At 49.3% G+C, this 20532-nt stretch overlaps 1 protein-coding gene and 1 long non-coding RNA gene across 15 annotated transcripts in view, besides 9 other annotated features; one reads left to right on the top strand and one right to left on the bottom strand.

Moving 5' to 3' along the window:
* Positions 1-20532, bottom strand: part of ARHGEF18 (Rho/Rac guanine nucleotide exchange factor 18) — a 131053-nt gene that overhangs the window by 72767 nt on the left and 37754 nt on the right. For 5 of the 13 annotated variants that reach the window (XR_007066706.1, XM_047438526.1, NM_001367824.1 and 2 more), the window contains exon 1: positions 11976-12078. The exons of the other annotated variants lie outside the window; for them this stretch is intronic. The gene's annotated coding sequence lies outside the window, so the exon portion shown is untranslated. Of the gene's footprint in view, positions 1-11975; positions 12079-20532 lie in introns of those variants that run through there. 13 annotated transcript variants of the gene reach the window in all.
* Positions 7373-7573: a silencer, noted in NCBI's record as "peak3320 fragment used in MPRA reporter construct". NCBI's record gives its function as "represses an SCP1 promoter by STARR-seq MPRAs in K562 erythroleukemia cells {active_cell/tissue: K562}" and the evidence as "EXISTENCE:reporter gene assay evidence [ECO:0000049][PMID:32103011]".
* Positions 8211-8715: an enhancer, noted in NCBI's record as "H3K27ac-H3K4me1 hESC enhancer chr19:7463394-7463898 (GRCh37/hg19 assembly coordinates)". NCBI's record gives its function as "activates a minimal SCP1, AML or CMV promoter by ChIP-STARR-seq in primed H9 embryonic stem cells {active_cell/tissue: H9 hESC(primed)}" and the evidence as "EXISTENCE:reporter gene assay evidence [ECO:0000049][PMID:30033119]".
* Positions 8716-9221: an enhancer, noted in NCBI's record as "H3K27ac-H3K4me1 hESC enhancer chr19:7462888-7463393 (GRCh37/hg19 assembly coordinates)". NCBI's record gives its function as "activates a minimal SCP1, AML or CMV promoter by ChIP-STARR-seq in primed H9 embryonic stem cells {active_cell/tissue: H9 hESC(primed)}" and the evidence as "EXISTENCE:reporter gene assay evidence [ECO:0000049][PMID:30033119]".
* Positions 9233-9433: a silencer, noted in NCBI's record as "peak3319 fragment used in MPRA reporter construct". NCBI's record gives its function as "represses an SCP1 promoter by STARR-seq MPRAs in K562 erythroleukemia cells {active_cell/tissue: K562}" and the evidence as "EXISTENCE:reporter gene assay evidence [ECO:0000049][PMID:32103011]".
* Positions 11297-11476: an enhancer, noted in NCBI's record as "active region_13882". NCBI's record gives its function as "activates an Ori minimal core promoter by ATAC-STARR-seq in GM12878 lymphoblastoid cells {active_cell/tissue: GM12878}" and the evidence as "EXISTENCE:reporter gene assay evidence [ECO:0000049][PMID:35858748]".
* Positions 11687-12256: a silencer, noted in NCBI's record as "silent region_9979". NCBI's record gives its function as "represses an Ori minimal core promoter by ATAC-STARR-seq in GM12878 lymphoblastoid cells {active_cell/tissue: GM12878}" and the evidence as "EXISTENCE:reporter gene assay evidence [ECO:0000049][PMID:35858748]".
* Positions 11687-12405: a biological region, named in NCBI's record as "ReSE screen-validated silencer GRCh37_chr19:7459704-7460144".
* Positions 11965-12405: a silencer, noted in NCBI's record as "fragment chr19:7459704-7460144 (GRCh37/hg19 assembly coordinates)". NCBI's record gives its function as "represses an EF-1alpha promoter that drives an FKBP-Casp9 reporter gene in an ReSE screen in HepG2 liver carcinoma cells {active_cell/tissue: HepG2}" and the evidence as "EXISTENCE:reporter gene assay evidence [ECO:0000049][PMID:32094911]".
* Positions 12164-19083, top strand: ARHGEF18-AS1 (ARHGEF18 antisense RNA 1). 2 transcript variants are annotated; one of them, NR_186325.1, is made up of 3 exons: positions 12164-12230; positions 14516-14632; positions 16503-19083. It is a non-coding gene; the product is annotated as an ARHGEF18 antisense RNA 1 (long non-coding RNA). The 2 variants fall into 2 exon arrangements; NR_186326.1 differs by lacking the exon at positions 14516-14632.
* Positions 19530-19689: an enhancer, noted in NCBI's record as "active region_13881". NCBI's record gives its function as "activates an Ori minimal core promoter by ATAC-STARR-seq in GM12878 lymphoblastoid cells {active_cell/tissue: GM12878}" and the evidence as "EXISTENCE:reporter gene assay evidence [ECO:0000049][PMID:35858748]".

The raw sequence follows: 20532 nt of genomic DNA, 5'->3' as shown, positions 1-20532 counted from the left end.
GAACTCCTGACCTCAGGTGATCCACCCACCTTGGCCTCCCAAAGTGCTGGGATTACCAGCGTGAGCCACCATGCCTGGCCAGTGGTTGGTTTCTGAGCATCTCAAGTTCCCTACCATCCTGAGTATGATGGCTATAACCTTTTTTTTTTTTTTTTTTTGAGACGGAGTCTTGCCTTGTCGCCCAGGCTGGAGTGCAGTGGCACGATCTCCGCTCACTGCAAGCTCTGCTTCCCGGGTTCATGCCATTCTCCTGCCTCAGCCTCCCAAGTAGCTGGGACTACAGGCGCCCGCCACCACGCCCGGCTAATTTTTGTTTTTTTTTGTTTTTTTTTAGTAGAGACGGGGTTTCACTGTGTTAGCCAGGATGGTCTCAATCTCCTGACCTCATGATCCGCCCACCTCGGCCTCCCAAAGTGCTGGGATTACAGGCGTGAGCCACTGTGCCAGGTGGCTATAACTATTAATATAAGTCAGCAACCAGCTCCTACGCTAGGAAAATTCCAGAACCTTGCAAAGACCTTCATTAGCATTCCTTTTAGAACTGCAACAGTGTGAGCTTGAATATATTTTAACATATCCTGTGTCTCAAGGTCAGCTCGTAAGCTAGGTGCAGGGGAAGGCAGCTGGTACAGCTTTGTTTTTTGCCCTCTCTGAATCTATAACACTTTTGTGTTTGATGAAGGTGGTATCTGAATGCAGGGGAAGGAAAAGATTATATGGAGTATAGGCACACGGCCAGACATTTGACAGACTGTAATATCAGATTCCTACTCATACGTTTTGGCAAATTATATTCACAGAGAATTCAGATTTAGAAGCTTTTCAAAAAGAATCTGGAGGCCAGGTGTGGTGGCTCACGCTTGTAATCCCAGCACTTTGGGAGGCCGAGGTGGGTGGATCACCTGAGGTCAGGGGTTCGAGACCAGCCTGGCCAACATGGTGAAACCCTGTCTCTACTAAAAATACAAAAATTAGCCAAGCGTGGTGGCACGCGCCTGTAATCCCAGCTACCTGGGAGGCTGAGGCAGGAGAATCGCTTGAACCCAAGCGGATGGTGGAGGTTGCAGTGAGCCGAGATAGCGCCAACGCACTCCAGCCTAGGTGACAGAGCGAAACTCCGTCTCAATAACAACAACAACAAAAAGAATCTGGTGTTCTCCTGAAGACCTCCTCTTTCCTCTCTGCAATTAACTGGTTCTAAAGAGTGAGACCTTCTACATTTACTTCAACTTCAAAATACTGGAAAATCACTGTGTTGTAAAGAGCCTAAGAAATGAGTGCCAATAGCTTGTAAACTTGTTCTAGGCTGGGAATGGTGACTCCCACCTGGAATCCCGGTGTTTTGGGAGGCTGAAGCAGGATCCCTTGAGCCCAAGAGTTTAAGACCAGCCTGGGCAATATGGTGGAACCCCATCTCTACAAAACAGCATTACAAAAACCAACAATTAGCCAGGCGTGGTGGTGCATGCCTGTGGTCCCAGCTACTCAGGAGGCTGAGGCGGGAGGATTGCTTGAGCCTGGCAGGTAGAGGTTGCAGTGAGCTATGATCGCACCACTGCACTCCAGCCTGGGCAACAGAGCAAGACCCTGTTTCAAAAACAAAAACTAAAACAAAACAAATTTGTTGTTTACAAATCGCTAGAAATAGGAGGTTCCTGAAGTGGGCTGAACAGTGTCCCACCAAAATTCACGTCCACTAAGAACCCTGGAATATGGACTTCTTTGGAAAGAGAGCCTGGGGCAGAGGTCATTAGTTAAGGATCTCGGGATGAAATTTCGATTTAGGGTGGGCCCTAGAGCCTATGACTGGTGTCTGTGTAGAGAAAGGAGAGGGAGATTTAGAGACACAGATACAGAGGGGAAACACACACACAGGTGAAGGCCACGTGACCACGGAGGGTGTGGAATGACATGGCTACAAGCCGAGGAATCCCTAGGGCCACCTTTTAGAAGTTGGAAGAGGTCGCTGGGCGCGGTGGCTCACGCCTGTAATCCCAGCACTTTGGGAGGCTGAGGCGGGCGGATTGCCTGAGGTCAGGAGTTTGAGACCAGCCTGACTGACATGGTGAAACCTCGTGTCTACTAAAAATATAAAAAATAAGCTGGGCATAGTGGCGGGCACCTATAATCCCAGTTACTGGGGAGGCTGAGGCAGGAGAATCTCTTAAACTCAGTACACAGAGGTTGCAGTGAGCCAAGATCATGCCATTACACTCCAGCCTGGGTGAGTGAGACTCCATCTCAAAAAAATAAAAATAAAAATAAAGCACCCGAGTCTGTCGCACACAATAAAGGTGAGTTCGGTTTGGTAACACTTTGCATCCTATTATTGTACGTGTGCCCATTGGATCACGGTATAGAATGTTCTGTTTTTGGTCAAAACAAAAGCACCCATCTGAAGGAGCTACAAGAGAGTCCCTGAGGCCCCTGTCTTCAGGCCCAACCATCAGGCGAACCTTCCAGACCAATAGAGAGCTATCCTCATGCTAAAATACTCCAGGACTGGGATGTTCAGGTCGGATTAGCTCCACGATCTATCTAAAAGGCCTTTTAATAGAGACATGGCAAAACCCCATCTCTACTAAAAATACAAAAATTAGCCGGGTGTGGTGGTGGGCGCCTGTAATCCCAGTTACTGGGGAGGCTGAGGCAGGAGAATCACTTGAACCCGGGAGACGGAGATTGCAGTGAGCCGAGATTGAGCCACTGCCCTCCAGCCTGGGTGACAGAGCGAGACTCCATCTCAAAAAAAAAAAAAAAAAAAAGAGAGAGATCCTCCTGCCTCAGCCTCACAGAGCGGGTTTGCTTTGGGTTTCTACCTAACTGTGTTTCTCTTTTTTGTGACTTGACAACTGTTATCCAGATCAGTCGGTATTTACAGGACAACAGAGAACGCAGCCCGAGAAGCCCCTCGAGCATCTAACTGGCTCCCTGGAGCCAGGACAGGGAAGGGATCAACAATGAACACACAAGGTCAGGTCAACTCAGTGAAACGGCCCCAGGGCAGCCCGTACCTGCCTCTGGCAAGGTGCTCCTTACTATTCCTTCACATTTCTTCTTACAGATTACAAATAACTAGGCCAGGTGCAGTGGCTCACACCTCTAATCCCAGCACTCTGTGAGGCTGAGGCAGGAGGATCTCTTTTTTTTTTTTTGAGACGGAGTCTCGCTCTGTTGCCCAGGCTGACATGCACTGGCTCAATCTCGTCTGACTACAACCTCCGCCGCCTCCCGGGTTCAAGTGATTCTCCTGCCTCAGCCTCATCAGTAGCTGGGATTACAGGCACCAGCCACCACGCCTGGTTAATTTTTGTATTTTTAGTAGACATGAGGTTTTGCCATGTTGGCCAGGCAGGTCTTGAACTCCCAACCTCAGGTGATCTGCCTGCCTTGGCCTCCCAAAGTGCTGGGATTACAGGTGTGAGTCATTGAGCCCAGCAGGAGGATCTCTTGAGCCAAGGAGTTCAAGACCAGCCTGGGCAACACGGCGAGGCTTCATCTCTACAAAAAATAAAAAATTAGCCGGGCACGGTGGCGCACACCTGTAGTGCCAGCTACTTAGGAGGACAAAGCGGGAGGATTGCTTGCGCCCAGGACGTCAAGGCTTCAGTGAGCTGTGATTCCTCTATCCTGGGCAACAGAGCAAGACCGTCTCAAAAAAAAAAAAAAGAAAGAAAGAAAGAAAGAAAGAAAAAGCTAAGTTTAGGCAACAACGTAAATGAACCTTGCAATCGTTATGCTAAGTAAAAGAAGTCACATTAATACATCAAGTATACTGTAAGATTCCACTGATATGAAAAGTCTAGAATAGACAGATCTAGAGACAGAAAGTAGGGTCGTGGCTGCTGGGGGCTGGGAGGATGGGGGAATGGGCAGTGAAAGCTATGGGTGTGAGCTTTTCTTGTGGGTGATGACAATGTTCTGAAATTATAGTAGTGACAGCTGCACCACTCTGTGAACATAGTAAAAATCACTGATTTGGCCGGGTGTGGTGGGCTCACGCCTGTAATCCCACCACTTTGGGAGGCCAAGGCGGGCGGATTGCTTGAGGTCAGGAGGCCTGCACCTGTAGCCCCAGCTACTTGGGAGGCTGAGGCAAGAGAATTGCTTGAACCCAGGAGGCGGAGGTTACAGTGAGCCGAGATCGCGCCACTGTACTCTAGCCTGGGTGACAGAGTGAGATTCTGTCTCAGAAAAGACAAAACAAACACATTGAATTGTACACTGTAAAAGGGTGAGTTCTGTGGTATGTGAATCACATTATCCCAATTTTAAATTTGCTATAATATAACATAAATTGTGATCATATAATTATCTTGGCCAGCAGCAGCTGGTCAAGAGGGCTTTCTGGGTCATGCCTGGGCTATACCTGCTCCGAGGCTCTCACTTTGTCACACTGGATGGTACAGACACACTTTGTAACCTTCTCCTACGTGGTCCTACATGGCAGGGACCAGCGCATGGGCACACTGACATCTCCTGGGCATTAGGCAATCTATTAACCTAGCCCCACACCACTTACGGGGCAAGCTGGTCCCCTTTCCTTTAGGGTTCTCTTAGCTTTACCCCCCAGTCTTCCTGCCACTCAGTCTCAAACCATTCCTTAAAATTCTGTCCCATTGCCACTGTGCTTCCAGTTCTTATTCCATCTCTTCCTCTCTTTGTAACTGCTTTATTGAGATAGAATTATCATACCACACAACTCACCCTTTGACAGCATCCAATTCAATGGTTCTTAGTATGTTCACAGAGTTCTGCATCTGTCATCACAATCTATTTTATGTATTTATTCATTTTATTTTTTGAGACAGAGTCTCGCTCAGTTGCCCAGGCTGAAGTGCAGTGGCAGGATCTCGGCTCACTGCAACCTCCGTCTCTGGGGTTCAGGCAATTCTCATGCCTCAGCCTCCGGAGGAGCTGGGTCTACAGGCACGCACCACCACACCTGGCTAATTTTTGTATTTTTAGTAGAGATTGGGCTTCACCATGTTGGCCAGGCTGGTCTCGAACTCCTGACGTTGTGATCTGCCCGTCTTGGCCTCCCAAAGTGCTGGGATTACAGGCATGAGCCACTGCGCCCAGCCTACAGTCAATTTTAGAATGCCTTCATCACCTCAAAAAGAAACCCCATTACCTTGGCCATTACTCCCCACTCCACTACCCCCAGCCTGTGGCAACCACTAATCCACTTTCTGTCCTTGTGGATTTGCCTGTTGTATACATTTCATATAAATGGAATCATACAGCAGGTGGCCTTTGGGGACTGGCTTCTTCCACTGAGCAAGTTTTTTCCAGGTCCATCTCTGTATCGGAACTTCTTTTTCATGGCCAAGTAATATTCCACAGTATGGCGGGACCACATTTTATGTATCCGTTCCTCAGCTGATGAACATTTAGGTTGTCTCTGCTTTCTGGCTACTTGGAATAATGCTACTATGAACATTCCTCTGCAAGTGTTTGTGTAGACCTATGTTTTCATTTGCCTTAGGAACCTACAGAGGAACAGAATTGCTGGGTTAACTCAAGGTTTAAGCTTTGGAGGAACTGCCTGTTTCCCAAGGCAGCTACACCAACCTATATTCCCACCAGCAGTGTATGAGGGTTCCAATTTTTCCATCTTCCCATCTCTCTTAGGGATGGGCACAATGGCTCATGCCTATAATCCCAGCACTTTGGGAAGCCAAGGCAGGCAGATTGCTTGAGTTCAGGAGTTCAAGACCAGCCTGGGCAACATGGTAAGACCCCTGTCTCTCCAAAAAATAAAAAAAAATTAGCCAGGCGTGATGGTGTGTGCCTGTGGTTCCAGCTATTTGGGAGGCTGAGGTGGGAGGATCACTTGAGCCCAGGAGGTTGAGGCTGCAGTGGGCTATGATTGTGACACTGCACTCCAGCCTGGGCGACAGGGCAAGACCCTGACTCAAAACCAAAACAAACAAAACCTCATTGGTTAGGAGCCCCCAAGTGGACATCACAAAGGGTCACACGGACCCACCACTGGCCACCACACCCTGGCATTGTCAGCGCTACAGAGCTGATCCCTTGCTGCCTCCAGCGCCCAAGGATGCTGAAATCCTTTGCTCTACATTCTACCTGGTCCGTCACTATCCATTTCACCCCCGTAAGGGAACTAATGAGTCCAGTAATCCCCATTGTGGATAACTTCCCAACTTACTATGGTTTCTAAATTCAATTTTGCTCTTCAAATGAAACGTCAGCAAATTAGAGGTATCCCTACACAGAGTGTAACTGGGATGTCCCTGTATGCAAGATGATGCTAGATTCCTGCCAAGTAATCTGACATGGTCCTCCCCTCCTTCCATCCCACACTGCAATGAGAGAGCACCTGCTCAGGACTCCCTCTTTTCATTTATAAATATTTATTTATTTAGAGATAGGGTCTTGCTCTGTTGCCAAGGCTAGAGTGCAGTGGTGTAATCACAGCTCTCTGCAGCCTTGACCTCCCAAGGCTCAAGCAATCCTTCCATTCCAGCCTCCCAAGTAGCTGGGGCCAGAGGTGTGAGCCATCACACCTTGCCAATTTTTCAATTTTTTGTAGAGATAGGATTCTTGCTATGCTATCCAGGCTGGTCTTGAACTCCTGGCCTGAAGTAGTCCTCCTGCCTCAGCCTTCCAAAGTACTGGGATTACAGGTGTGAGCTGCTGTGCCCGGCCAATTTTTGTTTTCATTTTTGAGCTGAGACTTTCTCCAGACCAACTCCCTCTTTTCACTTTCTCTCCTCCTGAAACCCACCCATAAGAATGATGAACTGAGCCAGGTATGGTGGCTGATGCTTGTAGTCCCAGCTACTCAGGAGGCTAAGGCAGGAGGAACACTTTAACCCAGGAGTTTGCATTTAGCCTGGACAACACAGCAAGACCCTGTTTTTTTAAAAAAATAATAAGATGTCCTGGAATTAAATACTGATGACTGTTGCTTAACTCTGTGAATATCCTAAAACACACCAAATGGTACACTTTTAAAAGGTGAATTTTATGCTGTGCTAATTATATTTCAATAAAGCTGCTGTATTAAAAAAGTGACGTGAATTAAAAATGTAACCATCCACCATCCACAATGTGTTAAACGTGTACTGTTAGTGAAACCTTTAGAATATATATTTTTTCAATATATGACCATAAATCAGTGTATGAAGCCGTGCATGGTGACTCACATCTATAATACCAACACTTTGGGAGACAAAGGTAGGAGGATCGCTTGAGCCCATGAGTTTGAGACCAGCCTGGGCAACCCTATCTCTAACACACACACAAAAATACAAAAATTAATTGGGCGCGGTGGTACGCACCTATAGTCCTAGCTCCTTGGGAGGCTGAAGTGGGAGGATTGCTTGAGCCTAGGAGGTCGAGGCTGTAGTGAGCTGTGATCGTACCACTGCTCTCCAGCCCAGGTGATAAGAGCGAAACTCTGTCTCAAAAAAAAAAAAAAAAGGCGTGGTGGCTCACGCCTGTAATCCCAGCACTTTGGGAGGCGAAGTGGGCGGATCACGAGGTCAGGAAATCGAGACCATCCTGGCTAACACGGTGAAACCCAATCTCTACTAAAAATACAAAAAATTAGCCAGGCGTGGTGGCAGGCACCTGTAGTCCCAGCTACTCGGTAGGCTGAGGCAGGAGAATGGCGTGAACCCGGAGGTGGAGCTTGCAGTGGGCCAAGATCGCGCCACTGCACTCCAGGCTGGGGCACAGAGCAAAACTCTGTCTCAAAAAAAAAAAAGAAGGAAAAAAAAACATTAGTGTATCTACTGCTTTGAACATATTGAACATAATCAGACTAGAACTCTATACTCAGTTGAAACTATGAATCTATCTCTGACAAAAGCAGAGAAGCAAGCAAATTTAATTTAGTTCACATACAACTTAATTTGCATCACAAAAATGAGAACAACTGCTGTCACCGAATGCTCTCGGAGGACATTATTTTACCCAGTTTCCCTCCCTCACCCAGTCAGCCACAATCCTCCCCTCAAAAAATTCCTCCAGGCAGCTGCGAGGCTTCCACTGGTGCTGTTTTGCACCTAGAGAGAGGGTTTTCAAACACAGTAGTTCTTGACCGTCTCAGGGGGAAAGTAAAGTTTACCTAACAAATAACAAAGAAACAGCGATTGGCTGGACTTCATATAAGGTCTCTGGGCTTTTAAATGATTTTCAGAGAGGTGGCAGCAAAAATGTTTTGTAAGTCATAGAGTTTGAAGAGATAGAAACATGACCCAGGATGAGTGAGAATGAGGGAGATCTTGACACACGATCTGAGCTATGTTAAACATGTGCTAGGTAAACACCCAGGGAGGCACAGCCAGTCACCACGGCCCTGGCCCACAAAGGGCAATGGCCTTGAAGCCGTAATTGCTACTGTGTGACAAGAATGAAAATTATACTACAGCTATGCCAGAAACAATGTATGTGCTACTTCCCCTTTCAAAGTGGGGACATTCTCAAGTCGATTTAAGCAAGAAAGAGAGAAGGAACCAAAGAATCTCTTTTCTTTCTTTCTTTATTTTTTTTTTTTTTTTTGAGACAGAGTCTAGCTCTGTTGCCCAGGCTGGAGTGCAATGGCGTGATCTCGGCTCACTGCAACCTCTGCCTTGCGGGTTCAAGCGATTCTCCTGCCTCAGCCTCCCAAGTAGCTGGGATTACAGGCGCAGGCCACCACGCCCAGCTAATTTTTGTATTTCTTAGTAGAGATGGGGTTTCACCCTGTTGGCCAGGCTGGTCTCGAACTCCTGGCCTCTCTGCCCACCTCGACCTCCCAAGGTGTTGGGATTACAGGTGTGAGCCATGGTGCCCGGTCTCTTTTCTGCTTCTCTAAGGTATGCCATTTAAAAATGAAATATGACCGGGCGTGGTGGCTCATGCATGTAATCTCAGCTCTCTTGGAGGCCAAGGAGGGGATATTACCTGAGGTCAGGAGTTCGACATCAGCCTGGCCAACATGGCGAAACCCCGCCTCTACTAAAAATACAAAAAATTAGCTGGGCGTGGTGGCACACACCTGTAATCCCAGCTACTCGGGAGGCTGAGGCGAAATTGCTTAAACTTGGGAGGCGGAGGTTGTAGTGAGCCAAGATCACACCACTGCACTCCAGCCTGGGCGCCAGAGCGAGACCGTCTCAAAAAACAAAAGGAAAAAGAAAAAGGAAACACACTTTGAAGTATATATACACAGTGGCATGATTAAATCTAGCTTAGTAACAAATGCAGCACTTCGCATAGCTCTCATTTTTGTGGTGAAAGTGCTTAACATCCGCTCCTCTTGCATTTTTCAAGAATATGTCACGTTGCACATGATAAATACATACACTGTTATCTGTCAGTTAAAAAAACAAAAACAAAAACCACAGGCTGTGGCAGCTCACGCCTGTAATCCTAGCACTTTGGGAGGCCGAGGTGGGAGGATCGCTTGAGTCCAGGACTTCAAGACCAGCCTGGGCAACATAGCGAGACCCCACAAAAAAAATTTTTTTTTTTTTTTGAGATGGAATCTCGTTCTGTTGCCCAGGCTGGAGTGCAGTGGCACGATCTCGGCTCACTGCAACCTCTACCTCCCGGGTTCACGCCATTCTCCTGCCTCAGCCTCCTGACTAGCTGGGACTACAGGCACACGCCATCATGCCCAGCTAATTTTTTGTATTTTTAGTAGAGACGGGGTTTCACCGTGTTAGCCAGGATGGTCTCAATCTCCTGACCTCGTGATCTGCCCCCCCCCGGGCCTCCCAAAGTGCTGGGATTACAGGTGTGAGCCACCGCACCCGGCCCAAAAAATTTTTAAAAATTAGCCAGACATGGAAGCGCGTGTCTGTAGTCCCAGCTACTTGGGAGTTTGTGGCAGGAGGATTATTTGAGCCCAGGAGTTCGAGGCTGTAGTGAGCTATGATTGTGCTATTGCACTCCAGTCTGGGCAACAGAGTGAGACCCTGTCTCTAAAAAGAAAAAAAAAATTTTAAGTAAAATCACATACTAATTTCAGAAGAAAACAAAAACTAAATAAGCTATACAAAACCAAAACAAAGTAACGTTTACAAAAATGAAATGTATTATGCCTGCCAGCTGTTTGCTCTTTTTTGCTCTAGAACAAACACATCTTCATTTTTTTTTTTTTTTTTTTTTCGCAAAAAGGCTTGCTGACCTACAGAAATAGGAAACTACTGATAAAGCGTAAACCCTGACTCGGTCCAAACAACATCCGAGATGCTCAAATTTTCCAAACTCTTTATAATTTGGAATGTTAACCTAAACATCCAAGCCTGGGAGCATTCGCATATGCAAAGGGTGTATAACACTGATGGAAAGTTTGCCATATGCCAGACACTTCTGTGATGCACCTTACACAGATTACTTCATAGAAACCCCAACCAACCCTTATTCCCATTTTAAAGATGGGAAGACGGAAACTTAGTGAAGTTACACGGCTAACAGGTGGTGGAACTGGGACCAGAACCCAGCTCGGATCTGACCTCAAGCCTGTGCTCCTGACACTTCTTTTTTTTTTTTTTTAGACAGTCTTGCTCTGTCGCCAGGCTGGAGTGCAGTGGCCCGATCGCGGCTCACTGCAACTTCTGCCTCCCGAGTTCAAGTGATTCCCCTGCCTCAGCCTCCAGAGTAGCTGGAACTACAGGCGCCCGCTACCATGCCCGGCTAATTTTTGTATTTTAGTAGAGATGGGGTTTCACCATGTTGGCCAGGATGGTCTCGATCTCCTGACCTCGTGATCCACCCACCTTGGCCTCCCAAAGTGCTGGGATTACAGGCTTGAGCCACCGCGCCCAGCCTCTCCTGACACCTCTTACAGCTGGAGGATTAATCATTCACTCAGACACCTGCAAAACTCATCCCTTGGCCACTGGGCTGTCTATACTGTCCTGAACTCTCTCTCTGGTCAATGGGAAGAGAATGGGGCCCTTCAAAGCTACTGGCTGGAGCTTCATCTCCGCGAAAACAAGGCAAAGGGGAAAAGGTGTGTTGGCCGCTTCGCTTCCGTGGTAAAACTTTAAGAATGTTTTTTAATCCTGTGGTCCAGGCTTTAATCTCAACAGAGCAAGAGATAAGGGGCAGATAGCCACAGCAAAACACTCAAGTGCTAGTAGAATTAACGCAGGAAAAGAAAACCAAATACTGCACTTTCCCACTTGTAAGTGGAGCTAAACCTTGGGTACTCATGGACACCAAGAAGACAACAGAAACTGGGCTCTACTAGAGCGGGAAGGGAAGGAGGAGGTCAAGGGTTGAAACTATCTATTGAGTACTATGCTCAGTACCTGGGTGACGAGATCAGTCACACCCCAAACCTCAGCATCACGCAATATATCCAGGTAACAAACCTGTACATGTACCCCCTCAATCTCAAATAAAAGTTGAAATTTAAAAACGTAAAACAAAACGAAACATGTAAGGACCAGGGGAAAGCTTCTCGTTCCCGTCCGCAATGAAAGCACCAACTGAGTTCTTATACAAGAAACTAAAACCCATGGCACAGATAGTTCTCACGGTTTTGCACCCAAACGCTCCCTGCCAGGGAGGGCTGTCTGCTCCGGGGTGTGAGGGTTCTCCCGGGAGGCCTGAAATACGACGGTGCTGGGTATTGTGGTGGGTTCCATTCCATCCCTGGTCCTGCCCCGGGCGCTCCTGAACGAGGAGCAGAGGCTGGGGCCCAAGTGACCCCTCCTCTCCTCTCCTGGAGGAGAGTAAGCCGTAGCACCCCAGGACTGGCTGGGGCTCGGACGGAGCGGGCGGGCATCGTCTGCACCTCTGCACCCTGCAATCGCCGCCTAGAGCCTCCATGCATTGAAGGAGCAGCCTGCACCCCAGCACCCGTTCGCCTGCCTGGAGAAGTCCCCCAGGAGCCGGCGGGAGGCCCGAGGCAGCCCCGGGGGTCCCGCGCCCCAGGCCACCCCCTGAAGAGACCGAGGGCCCCCTCCTGAGCCCCGTTTTCCTCGGGACCGCCCCGCCGCCGTCCTCACCTCGGCCCGATCGCCCGCAGGCCGCTCTCCGCCAGCTCCTCTGCCACTCTCGCAGCCGCCTCCGATGCCTCCGTCCGGCCCCCCCAGATCCACAGTAGCTAGCAGCTGGGAGCCGGAAGCGGGAAGCCGCGCGAGGAGAGCAGCGCATGCGCGATCCCGCCTCGGAGGCGGGGCAGAGGGCGTGACCCGGAAGGAGGCGTGCCCTCGAGGGCGGGGCGCTCCCGGGGACCTGGGGCTGCTGCTCCCCGAGCCGTGGTGAGGGGGCGTCGGCTCGGCCTTGAGAGGGGCGCGGGCACCGAAGTGGGAGGGTGCTCGCGGCGAGGGTGAGGGCGACTTTTGAGGGGCGGGTCAGCGGGGTTGGGGGGCTTTTTGAAGGAGAGCAATGCGAGCCTGGCTGTCAGTAGGGCCGGGGGCTCTGAGGGGACAGCTGGGTTGCGGGGATCCAGAGGGAGAGCAGCAGGGTTAGGTGGGCGTTTTGTGGGGTTAACGGAAGCCTGGGTGATTAGCGCGGCTGGGGAGGGAGTCCTGAGGAGGACAGCGGTTTGGAGAATCTCAAGGGGGGTACAGCACAGTTAGGGGGACCCTGAGGGAGGACAGCGGGGTTGGGGGACCCCAAGGGAGGACAGCGGGGTTGGGGGGACCCCGAGGGAGGACAGCGGAGTTGGGGGACCCCGAGGGAGGATAGCGGGGTTAAGGGGACCCCAAGGGAGGACAGTGGAGCTGGGGGTGTTTTGGAAGAATCAACGGATGCCTGGAGGGGTTGTCAGTGGGCTCCTACGGGCTCGTTAGGATTGGAAGTACCTAAGGGGGGCACTCCCAGTGGTGGGGAGTCCTAGCGGGGAGAGTCCAAGAAATGGAGAGGGCAGGGTCTGTCACCTGAGAAAAAAGAAGCAGCATCAGGGAGTGGTGGGGGGATCACTTCATCCCAGGAGTTCAGGACCACCAGTCTGGGCAACATAGCAAGACCCCATCTCTACAAAACATTTTTTAAAATGAGCAGGGCATGGAGGCGCCTGCCTGTGGTCCCAACTCCTCCAGAGGCTGAGGTGGGAGGATGACTTGAGCCTGGGAGGTCCAGGCTGCGGTGAGCTATGATCATGCCTCCAGAGGCTGAGGTGGGAGGATGACTTGAGCCTGGGAGGTCCAGGCTGCAGTGAGCTATAATCATGCCACTGCACTCCAGCCTGGACAACAGAGCAAGACTCTGTCTCAAAATAACAACAACAAAAAAAGAGGCAGCATAGACTTCAGAAAGGTGGGTCTGGGAAAAATGAATCATATACCTCTCCAGTGGTCTCAGACACCCCAACATAGATACCATCAGATCCCCTAAACACAGGCACCCAGGCAGGTGCCATCAGATACCCAAAACAGGCTTCCAGGTAACCCCCAAATATGTCAGACACTCCACATAGGTCCAGCAGATACCCCCAAACACATACTAGATAACCCCAATACAGATGCTGTCAGATACCCTCAAACAGGTGCTCAGAGTCTGAAACACATACCATACCCTCCCCTATCCACTTCCACACAGGTGCTATTTGGCAGATGTGGATAGGCCAGATGCTTCCCCCAGCACCAGCAACCTCTCAATTGCCATCAGACACCCCAGTCTTGAGGTTGCCTGTCTAATCCAAGTCCTGCCACAGGGGAGGCAGTTGAACAGTAACCAGGAGTCGAGCAGAACAGCTCTCACCAAGGTTGGCTGGTCAGCCAGGCCTAGAAGATCTCCCCATGGCCAGGCAAGACGGCTCATGCCTGTAATCCTAACACTTTGGGAGTCTGAGGAGGGAGGATCACTTGAGTCCAGGAGCTTTGAGATCAGCCTGGGAAACCTCGCATGACCCAGTCTCTATTTTAGAAAAAAAGATTTCCCCAAACCCAATCACTTCAAAACATGCACAATATGTTGTTGAGAGTCCCCAGTTCAGAAGCTGGAGGGTTGCGTCCCCAGGTGGACTAGCCTTCAGTTCAAGTCCAACCTTCATGGTCCAGAGGAAGGGAGCATGTTCAGGGAATTGGATGTCCCAGAAATGCAAGACGTAATTCACCAGGCACCCTACTGCAGCTGAGGTCAGAAACTCTAACACGGGAGTTTATGAGGGCTCAATGGTTGGGCAGCTGTGTAGCTGTGGCTTATGGACTTAGGGGCATGAACCTTATTTTTTTTCCTTTTTTTTTTTTTTTTTTTTTTTTTGAGACAGGATCTCACTCTGTCACTTAGGCTGGAAGTGCAGTGGCACAATCATAGCTCATTGCAGCTTCCATCTCCTGGGCTCAAGTTGTCCTCCCACCTCAGCCTCCCAAGTAGCTGGGACCACAGGCACACACCACCACGTCTGGCTAATTTTTTTGTAGAGACAGAGTTTCGCCATGTTGCCTAGATTGGTCTCGAACTCCTGAGCTCAAGTGATCTGCCCGCCTGGGCCTCCTATGATGCCAGGATTGTAGGTGTGAGCCATCATGCCCGGCCTTTGAACCTTATTTCTTTCTTTCTCTTTTTCTTTCTTTTTTTTTTTTTTTCTTTCTTGAGACAGAGTCTCACTCTGTCACCCAGGCTGCAGTGTAGTGGTACCATCTAGGCTCACTGCAGCCTCCACCTCCTGGGTTCAAGTGATCCTCCTGCCTCAGCCTCCCGAGTGCTGGAATTACAGGTATGCACCACCAAGCCTGGCTAATTTTTGTGTTTTTTTTTTGTTTTTTTTTCAGTAGAGTCAGGGTTTCACCATGTTGGCCAGACTGGTCTTGAACTCCTGACCTCAAGTGATCCTCCCACCCTGGCCTCCCAAAGTGCTGGGATTACAGGCGTGAGCCACTGGGTCTGGCCATCAGCCTTATTTCTATAGCTATCTTGGTTATAGGAAACTTCAGGTGGACACAGCCCTCCCCTAAACATAGAAACCAACTTTCTCAGAGACAACTAGGAAGGAGAAACATCTCCCATCTTTCTTTTATCCATCCAACCATTCTGCATTTATGAGTCTTTTTTTTTTTTTTTTTTTTTGAGACGGAGTCTCACTCTGTTGCCCAAGCTGGAGTGCAGTGGTGCCATCTTGGCTCACTGCAAACTCCACCTCCCAGATTGAAGCAATTCTCCTGCCTCAGCCTCCCGAGTAGCTGGGATTGCAGGCACCCGCCACTACATCTGGCTAATTTTTGTATTTTTTGTAGAGATGGGGTTTTACCATGTTGGCCAGGCTGGTCTTGAACTCCTGACCTTAGGTGATCTGCCTGCCTCAGCCTCCCAAAGTGCTGGGATTACAGGCGTGAGCCACCACACCTGGCCTCATTTATGAGTCTTTAGCATGGACCAGGGGCGCTAGGAGCTAAGGAGATGCAAGGAGCTTAGGCCCAGAGCAGGGTTTTCTCAGCTTGGCACTTTCGACAATTAGGGCTGGATAATTCTCGGTGGTGGTGGCAGGGGTGGTCTCCTATGCACTGGAGGGTGTTGAGCGGCATCCCTGGTCTCTACCTCCTAGATGCCAGTGGCTCCCCTGGTCCTGAAAAAAATGCCTCCAGATGTTTCCTTGGCTGAGAGCAACTGGCCTAAGAGACATTCAGACACTTATCCAGCCTAATTCCGACTTCCTGGAGGAAGTGGGCCTGGGCTTTGTCTTAAAAGGATGAGTAAGAGTTAGGTGGGAGAGGGAGTTCCAGGAACAGCGCTGGATGAGCAAGGCACAGCGTATGTGTATGACGTGTATGAACAGCCATGAGACTTCAGGGTGACTGGGCCGTGGAGTCCGGAGAACCTGAGTAGTGGGAGAGAAGCGTGGAGGGATAGGTGGGGTTGAATTATAAACAGCCTCAAAGGTCAAGGCCAGGAACAGGACTGTCTGGCGTGGTGTCTGTTCTCTGAAAAGCATCCCAACTTTATCGTGGAGACCCACCTTCTCTAATTACCTGGAGTATGACTCATTCTCTGTTCTGTTTGTTTAACTTACTGTGAGGCTGTTTCCTCCGTCTGTCCCACGGACGGGAGGAAACGGGACAGACTGTCACGTTGACTTTGAATACCTTTAAAAGCAGGTAGGCCTGTGGGGAGTTATACCTTGGGAGGACTTTTCTCAGCCTGCTGGGAATGAGACATGGGTGTTTTGGCCCCTTCATGCCTCCTGACACAGGTGGGGAGGGGTTTGTTGTCAGAGAACAGGGTTAGGGTCTGTGATTTATTTTTTTATTTTTATTTTATTTATTTATTTTTTTGAGACAGAGTCTCACTCTGTCAACGGGCTGGAGTGCAGTGGTGTGATCTCAGCTCACTGCAACCTCTGCTTCCCGGGTTCAAGTGATTCTCCTGCCTCAGTCTCCCAAGTAGCTGGGACTACAGGCAGGCGCCACCACACCCAGCTAATTTTTGTATTTTTAGTAGAGACGGTGTTTCACCATGTTGGCCAGGATGGTCTCCCTCTCTTGACCTCGTGATCTTCCCTCCTCGGCCTCCCAAAGTGCTAGGATTACAGGCGTAAGCCACCACACCTGGCTTGGTCTGTGATTTATTATTATTTTTATTTGTTTTTGCAGCTTTGCAGAGGCAAGCGTCTATGATTTAAATGCTAGCTTTGCCGCTTACTGGCTGAAAGACTTTAAATGACAATAACAAAAAATGAAGAGGATGATGATGATGATACAAGATACCATTGCCCGTGTGTACCAGACATCATGCTAAGTGAGTGCTACCCACATCATTTTTCTTTCTTTTCTTTTCTTTTCTTTTTTCTTTTTTTTTTTTTTTTGATACAGAGTCTCGCTCTGTCACCCAGGCTGAAGTGCAGTGGCGCAATCTTGCCTCACTGCAACCTCCACCTCTTGGGTTCAAGGGATCCTCCCACCTGAGCCTCCTGAGTAACTGCGATTACAGGCATGTGCCACCATGCCCCGCTAATTGTTTTGTGTTTTTAATGGAGATGGGGTCTTACCATGTTGGCCAGGCTGGTCTCAAACTCCTGACCTCAAGTGATCCTCCCACCTTGGTCTCCCAAAGTGCTGGGATTACAGGTGTAAGCCACCACGCCCAGCCTTTACCCACATTATTTCTTTTTTCTTTTTAGGAACAGGGTCTTGCTCTGTGGCACAGGCTAGAGGGCAGTGGCAAATCATAGCTAACTGTAGCTTTGAACACCTGGGCTCAAGCAATGCTGCCACCTCAGCCTCCCGAGTAGCTAGGATTATAGGCGAGTGCCACCACACCTGGCTAACTTTTAAACATTTTTTTTGTAGAGACGAGGGTCTCACTATATTGCCCAGACTCCTGAACTCAAGGGATCCTCCTGCCTCAGCCTCCCAAAGCGCTGAGATTACAGGAGTGAGCTTCCGCGCCCGGCCCCACATCATTTCTTTCACACAAACTCAAATCTTTCTTGACCTCAAAGGGTTGTCCTGCAAATCAAAATCAAATGATGTCTCCAGGAGAAAGAGCTTAATTCCCACCACCCTGAGAGTGGGCTGGATGTCACGACTCGTGGGCGGATCGCTTGAGGCCAGGAGTTCGAGACCAGCCTGGCCAACACGGCGAAACCCTGTCTCTACTAAAAATACAAAAAATTAGCCAGGCATGGTGGCATACGCCTGTAATCCCAGCTACTCGGGAGGCTGAGACAGGAGAGTAGCTTGAACCCAGGAGGTGGAGGTTGCAGTGAGCCAAGATTGTGCCACTGCACTCCAGCCTGGGTGACACAGCAAGACTCCATCTCAAAAAAAAAAAAATAAGTAAATAAGAAAGAAAGAAAGGAAGGAAGGAAGGAAGGGAGGAAGGAAGAAGGAAGGAAGGAAGGAAGAAAATGTAGGGTGGATGCAGTGGCTCACACCTGTAATCCCAGCACTTTGGGAGGCTGAGGTGGGTGGATCGCTTGAGCCCAGGAGTTCAAGACCAACTTGGGCAATGTGACAAAACCCTGTTTCTACAAAAAAAAAAAAAAAAAAAAAAATTATCCTGGTATGATGGCATGCACTTCTAGTCCCAGCTACTTGGGAGGCTAGGGTGGGAGGATTGCTTGAGCCCAGGAGGCAGAGGTTGTAGTGAACCAAGATCACGCCACTGCACCCCAGCCTGGGCAACAGAGCGAGACTCTGTCTCAAAAAAAAAAAAAAAATTAGCCTGGTGTGGTGCTACGAGACTGTAGTCCCTGCTACTCGGGAGGCTGAAGTGGGAGGATCTCTTGAGCCCAAGAAGTCGAGGCTGCAGTAAGCTGTGATCGTGCCACCGCACTCCAGCCTGGGCAACAGAGTGAGACTCTGTCTCAAAAAAATTAAAAATAACATGAGGAGAAGCTGGGAAGGAGGGCTTAAAGGGACTCTCTCTGCTTTCTTTGTACTTTCCTGTAAATATAAAATTAAAAGTATATTTTTTAAAAATCAAAGGGCAGGCCAGGCGCGGTGGCTCATGCCTGTAATCCTAGCATTTTGGAAGGCTGAGGGGGGTGGATCACCTGAGGTCAGGAGTTTGAGACCAGCCTGGCCAACATGGTGAAACCCCATCTCTACTAAAAATACAAAAATTAGCCAGGCGTGGTGGCGCATGCCTGCAATCCCAGCTACTCAGGAGGCTGAGGCAGGAGAATGGCTTGAACCTGGGAGGCGGAGGTTGCAGTGAGCTGGGATGGTGCCAACTGCTCTCCAGCCTGGGTGACAGAGCAAAACTCCATCTGAAAATAAATAAATAAAAATAAAAATAAAAGGGCATCATATGCCAATGGATTGGTGATCGGGGGCTCAGGCTGTGAGTTCAAACCCTGACTTGAGCAAAAACTTAACTTCTCTGGGCCTCAGTTTCCTCATCTGTGAAAGAGAGAAAGTGCTAGTGTCTACAGAGTTACAAAGCTGAATGAGGAAATCGGTTTAGAGCACTTACAGACCGGGCTCAGTAGTTCATACCAGTAATCCCAGCACTTTGGGAGGCATAGGTGGGAGGATCACCTGAGGCCAGGAGTTCGAGACCAGCCTGGACAACATAGCAAGACCTTGTCTCTATTTTTAAAAAATCTAAATAAAAACAAAATAAAGCACTTACAGTGCTTGGGATAGTGTAAGTGCTCCATACGGTAATGCTAACCATTGTTATTATTTGTGCAAAGTTTTCTGTGATTATAAAGTGACATTCAGGAAATTAGACGCTGTTGGAACTCTCATTGCTCAAGGTCATTTTTTTGTAAGGGGTTTATTGATTTGCAGGACATGATAAGCCACTCACCTTGCTTGCTACCAGATAACCTCGTTCAGGGGTTGGCAAACTTGCTTTGTAATGCTGCAAACTCAACTCTGCCAACCAGAAATGTAGCTTGAGCCAGACACGGTGGCTCATGCCTATAATCTCAGCACTTTGGGAGGCTGAGGTGGGTGTATCACTTGAGGTCAGGAGTTTGAGACCAGCCTGGCTAACATGGTGAAACCCCGTCTCTACTAAAAAAAATTAGCCAGGCATGGTGGCAGGTACCTGTAATCCCAGCCACTCGGGAGGCTGAGGCGTGAGAATCGCTTGAACCTGGGAGGCGGAGTCTCCAGTGAGCCGACATCACGCCACTGCACTCTGGCGTGGGCGACAGAGCGAGATTCTGTCTCAGAACAAAACCAAAAGCAAAGATGTAGCTTGGGAACCACCGAAGGTGATACATAAATGAACAGGCGAGCTGTCCTGCCACAAAACCTTATTTGCAGACTGTAAAATGCAAATTTCATAGAATGGTTGTGTGTCACCAAATATTTGTTTTCAACCATTTACAAATGTAAAAAACCCACCCCATTCTTAGCTTTCAGCGTATGCAAACAAACAAAAAAACTCAAAAAACAAAAAACAGCGCTGGGCGCGGTGGCTCACGCCTATAATCCCAGCACTTTGGGAGACCGAGACGGGCAGATCACGAGGTCAGGAGATCGAGATTATCCTGGTTAACACGGTGAAACCCCGTCTCTACTAAAAATACAAAAAATTAGCCGGGCATGGTGGCGGGCACCTGTAGTCCCAGCTACTTGGAAGGCTGAGGCAGGAGAATGGCATGAACCAGGAAGGCAGAGCTTGCAGTGAGCTGAGATCGCGCCACCGTACTCCAGCCTGGGCAACAGAGTGAGACTCCATCTCAAAACAAACAAACAAACAACAACAACAACAAAAACAGGTGATGGACTGCAGTTTGCCAGTCCCTGGCTTAGAAAATTGTTGCCGAACTTTTCCAAGGTCGCATGTTCTGGTTGGAGATCTGATGAAAACCCTAGCTGCTCTGCTCCTCCAGAAAAACGCAGGGACACAGCAGATGTGGCATACAACTTCAGGGGGACTGAAAGCTCATAAGGAGGTGCTGGACGCTGTCCCGCCCAAATCCCCAGCTGGAAGGCAGGAACTGTCTTTGCAGCGCCCAGAGTGGAGAAGGGATCCGAAGCAGCAATGGGAACTTCCAGGCTCACACAGGGGCCACTGAAGCCTGTCTGCCCTGATAGGAGTCTAGGTGGAGGTGGGATTTGCAGACAGCAAGCTCAGCTATCGAGTGACAAGTGACAGGGTCCTCTGAGCAATGGCTCAGATGGGGGCAGGCATGCACATTTGTGTGACCTGCAACAGGTT

This window comes from Homo sapiens, chromosome 19, assembly GCF_000001405.40.
Source record: "Homo sapiens chromosome 19, GRCh38.p14 Primary Assembly".
NCBI lineage: Eukaryota > Metazoa > Chordata > Mammalia > Primates > Hominidae > Homo > Homo sapiens.
This window is presented reverse-complemented; position numbering and strand designations above follow the sequence as displayed.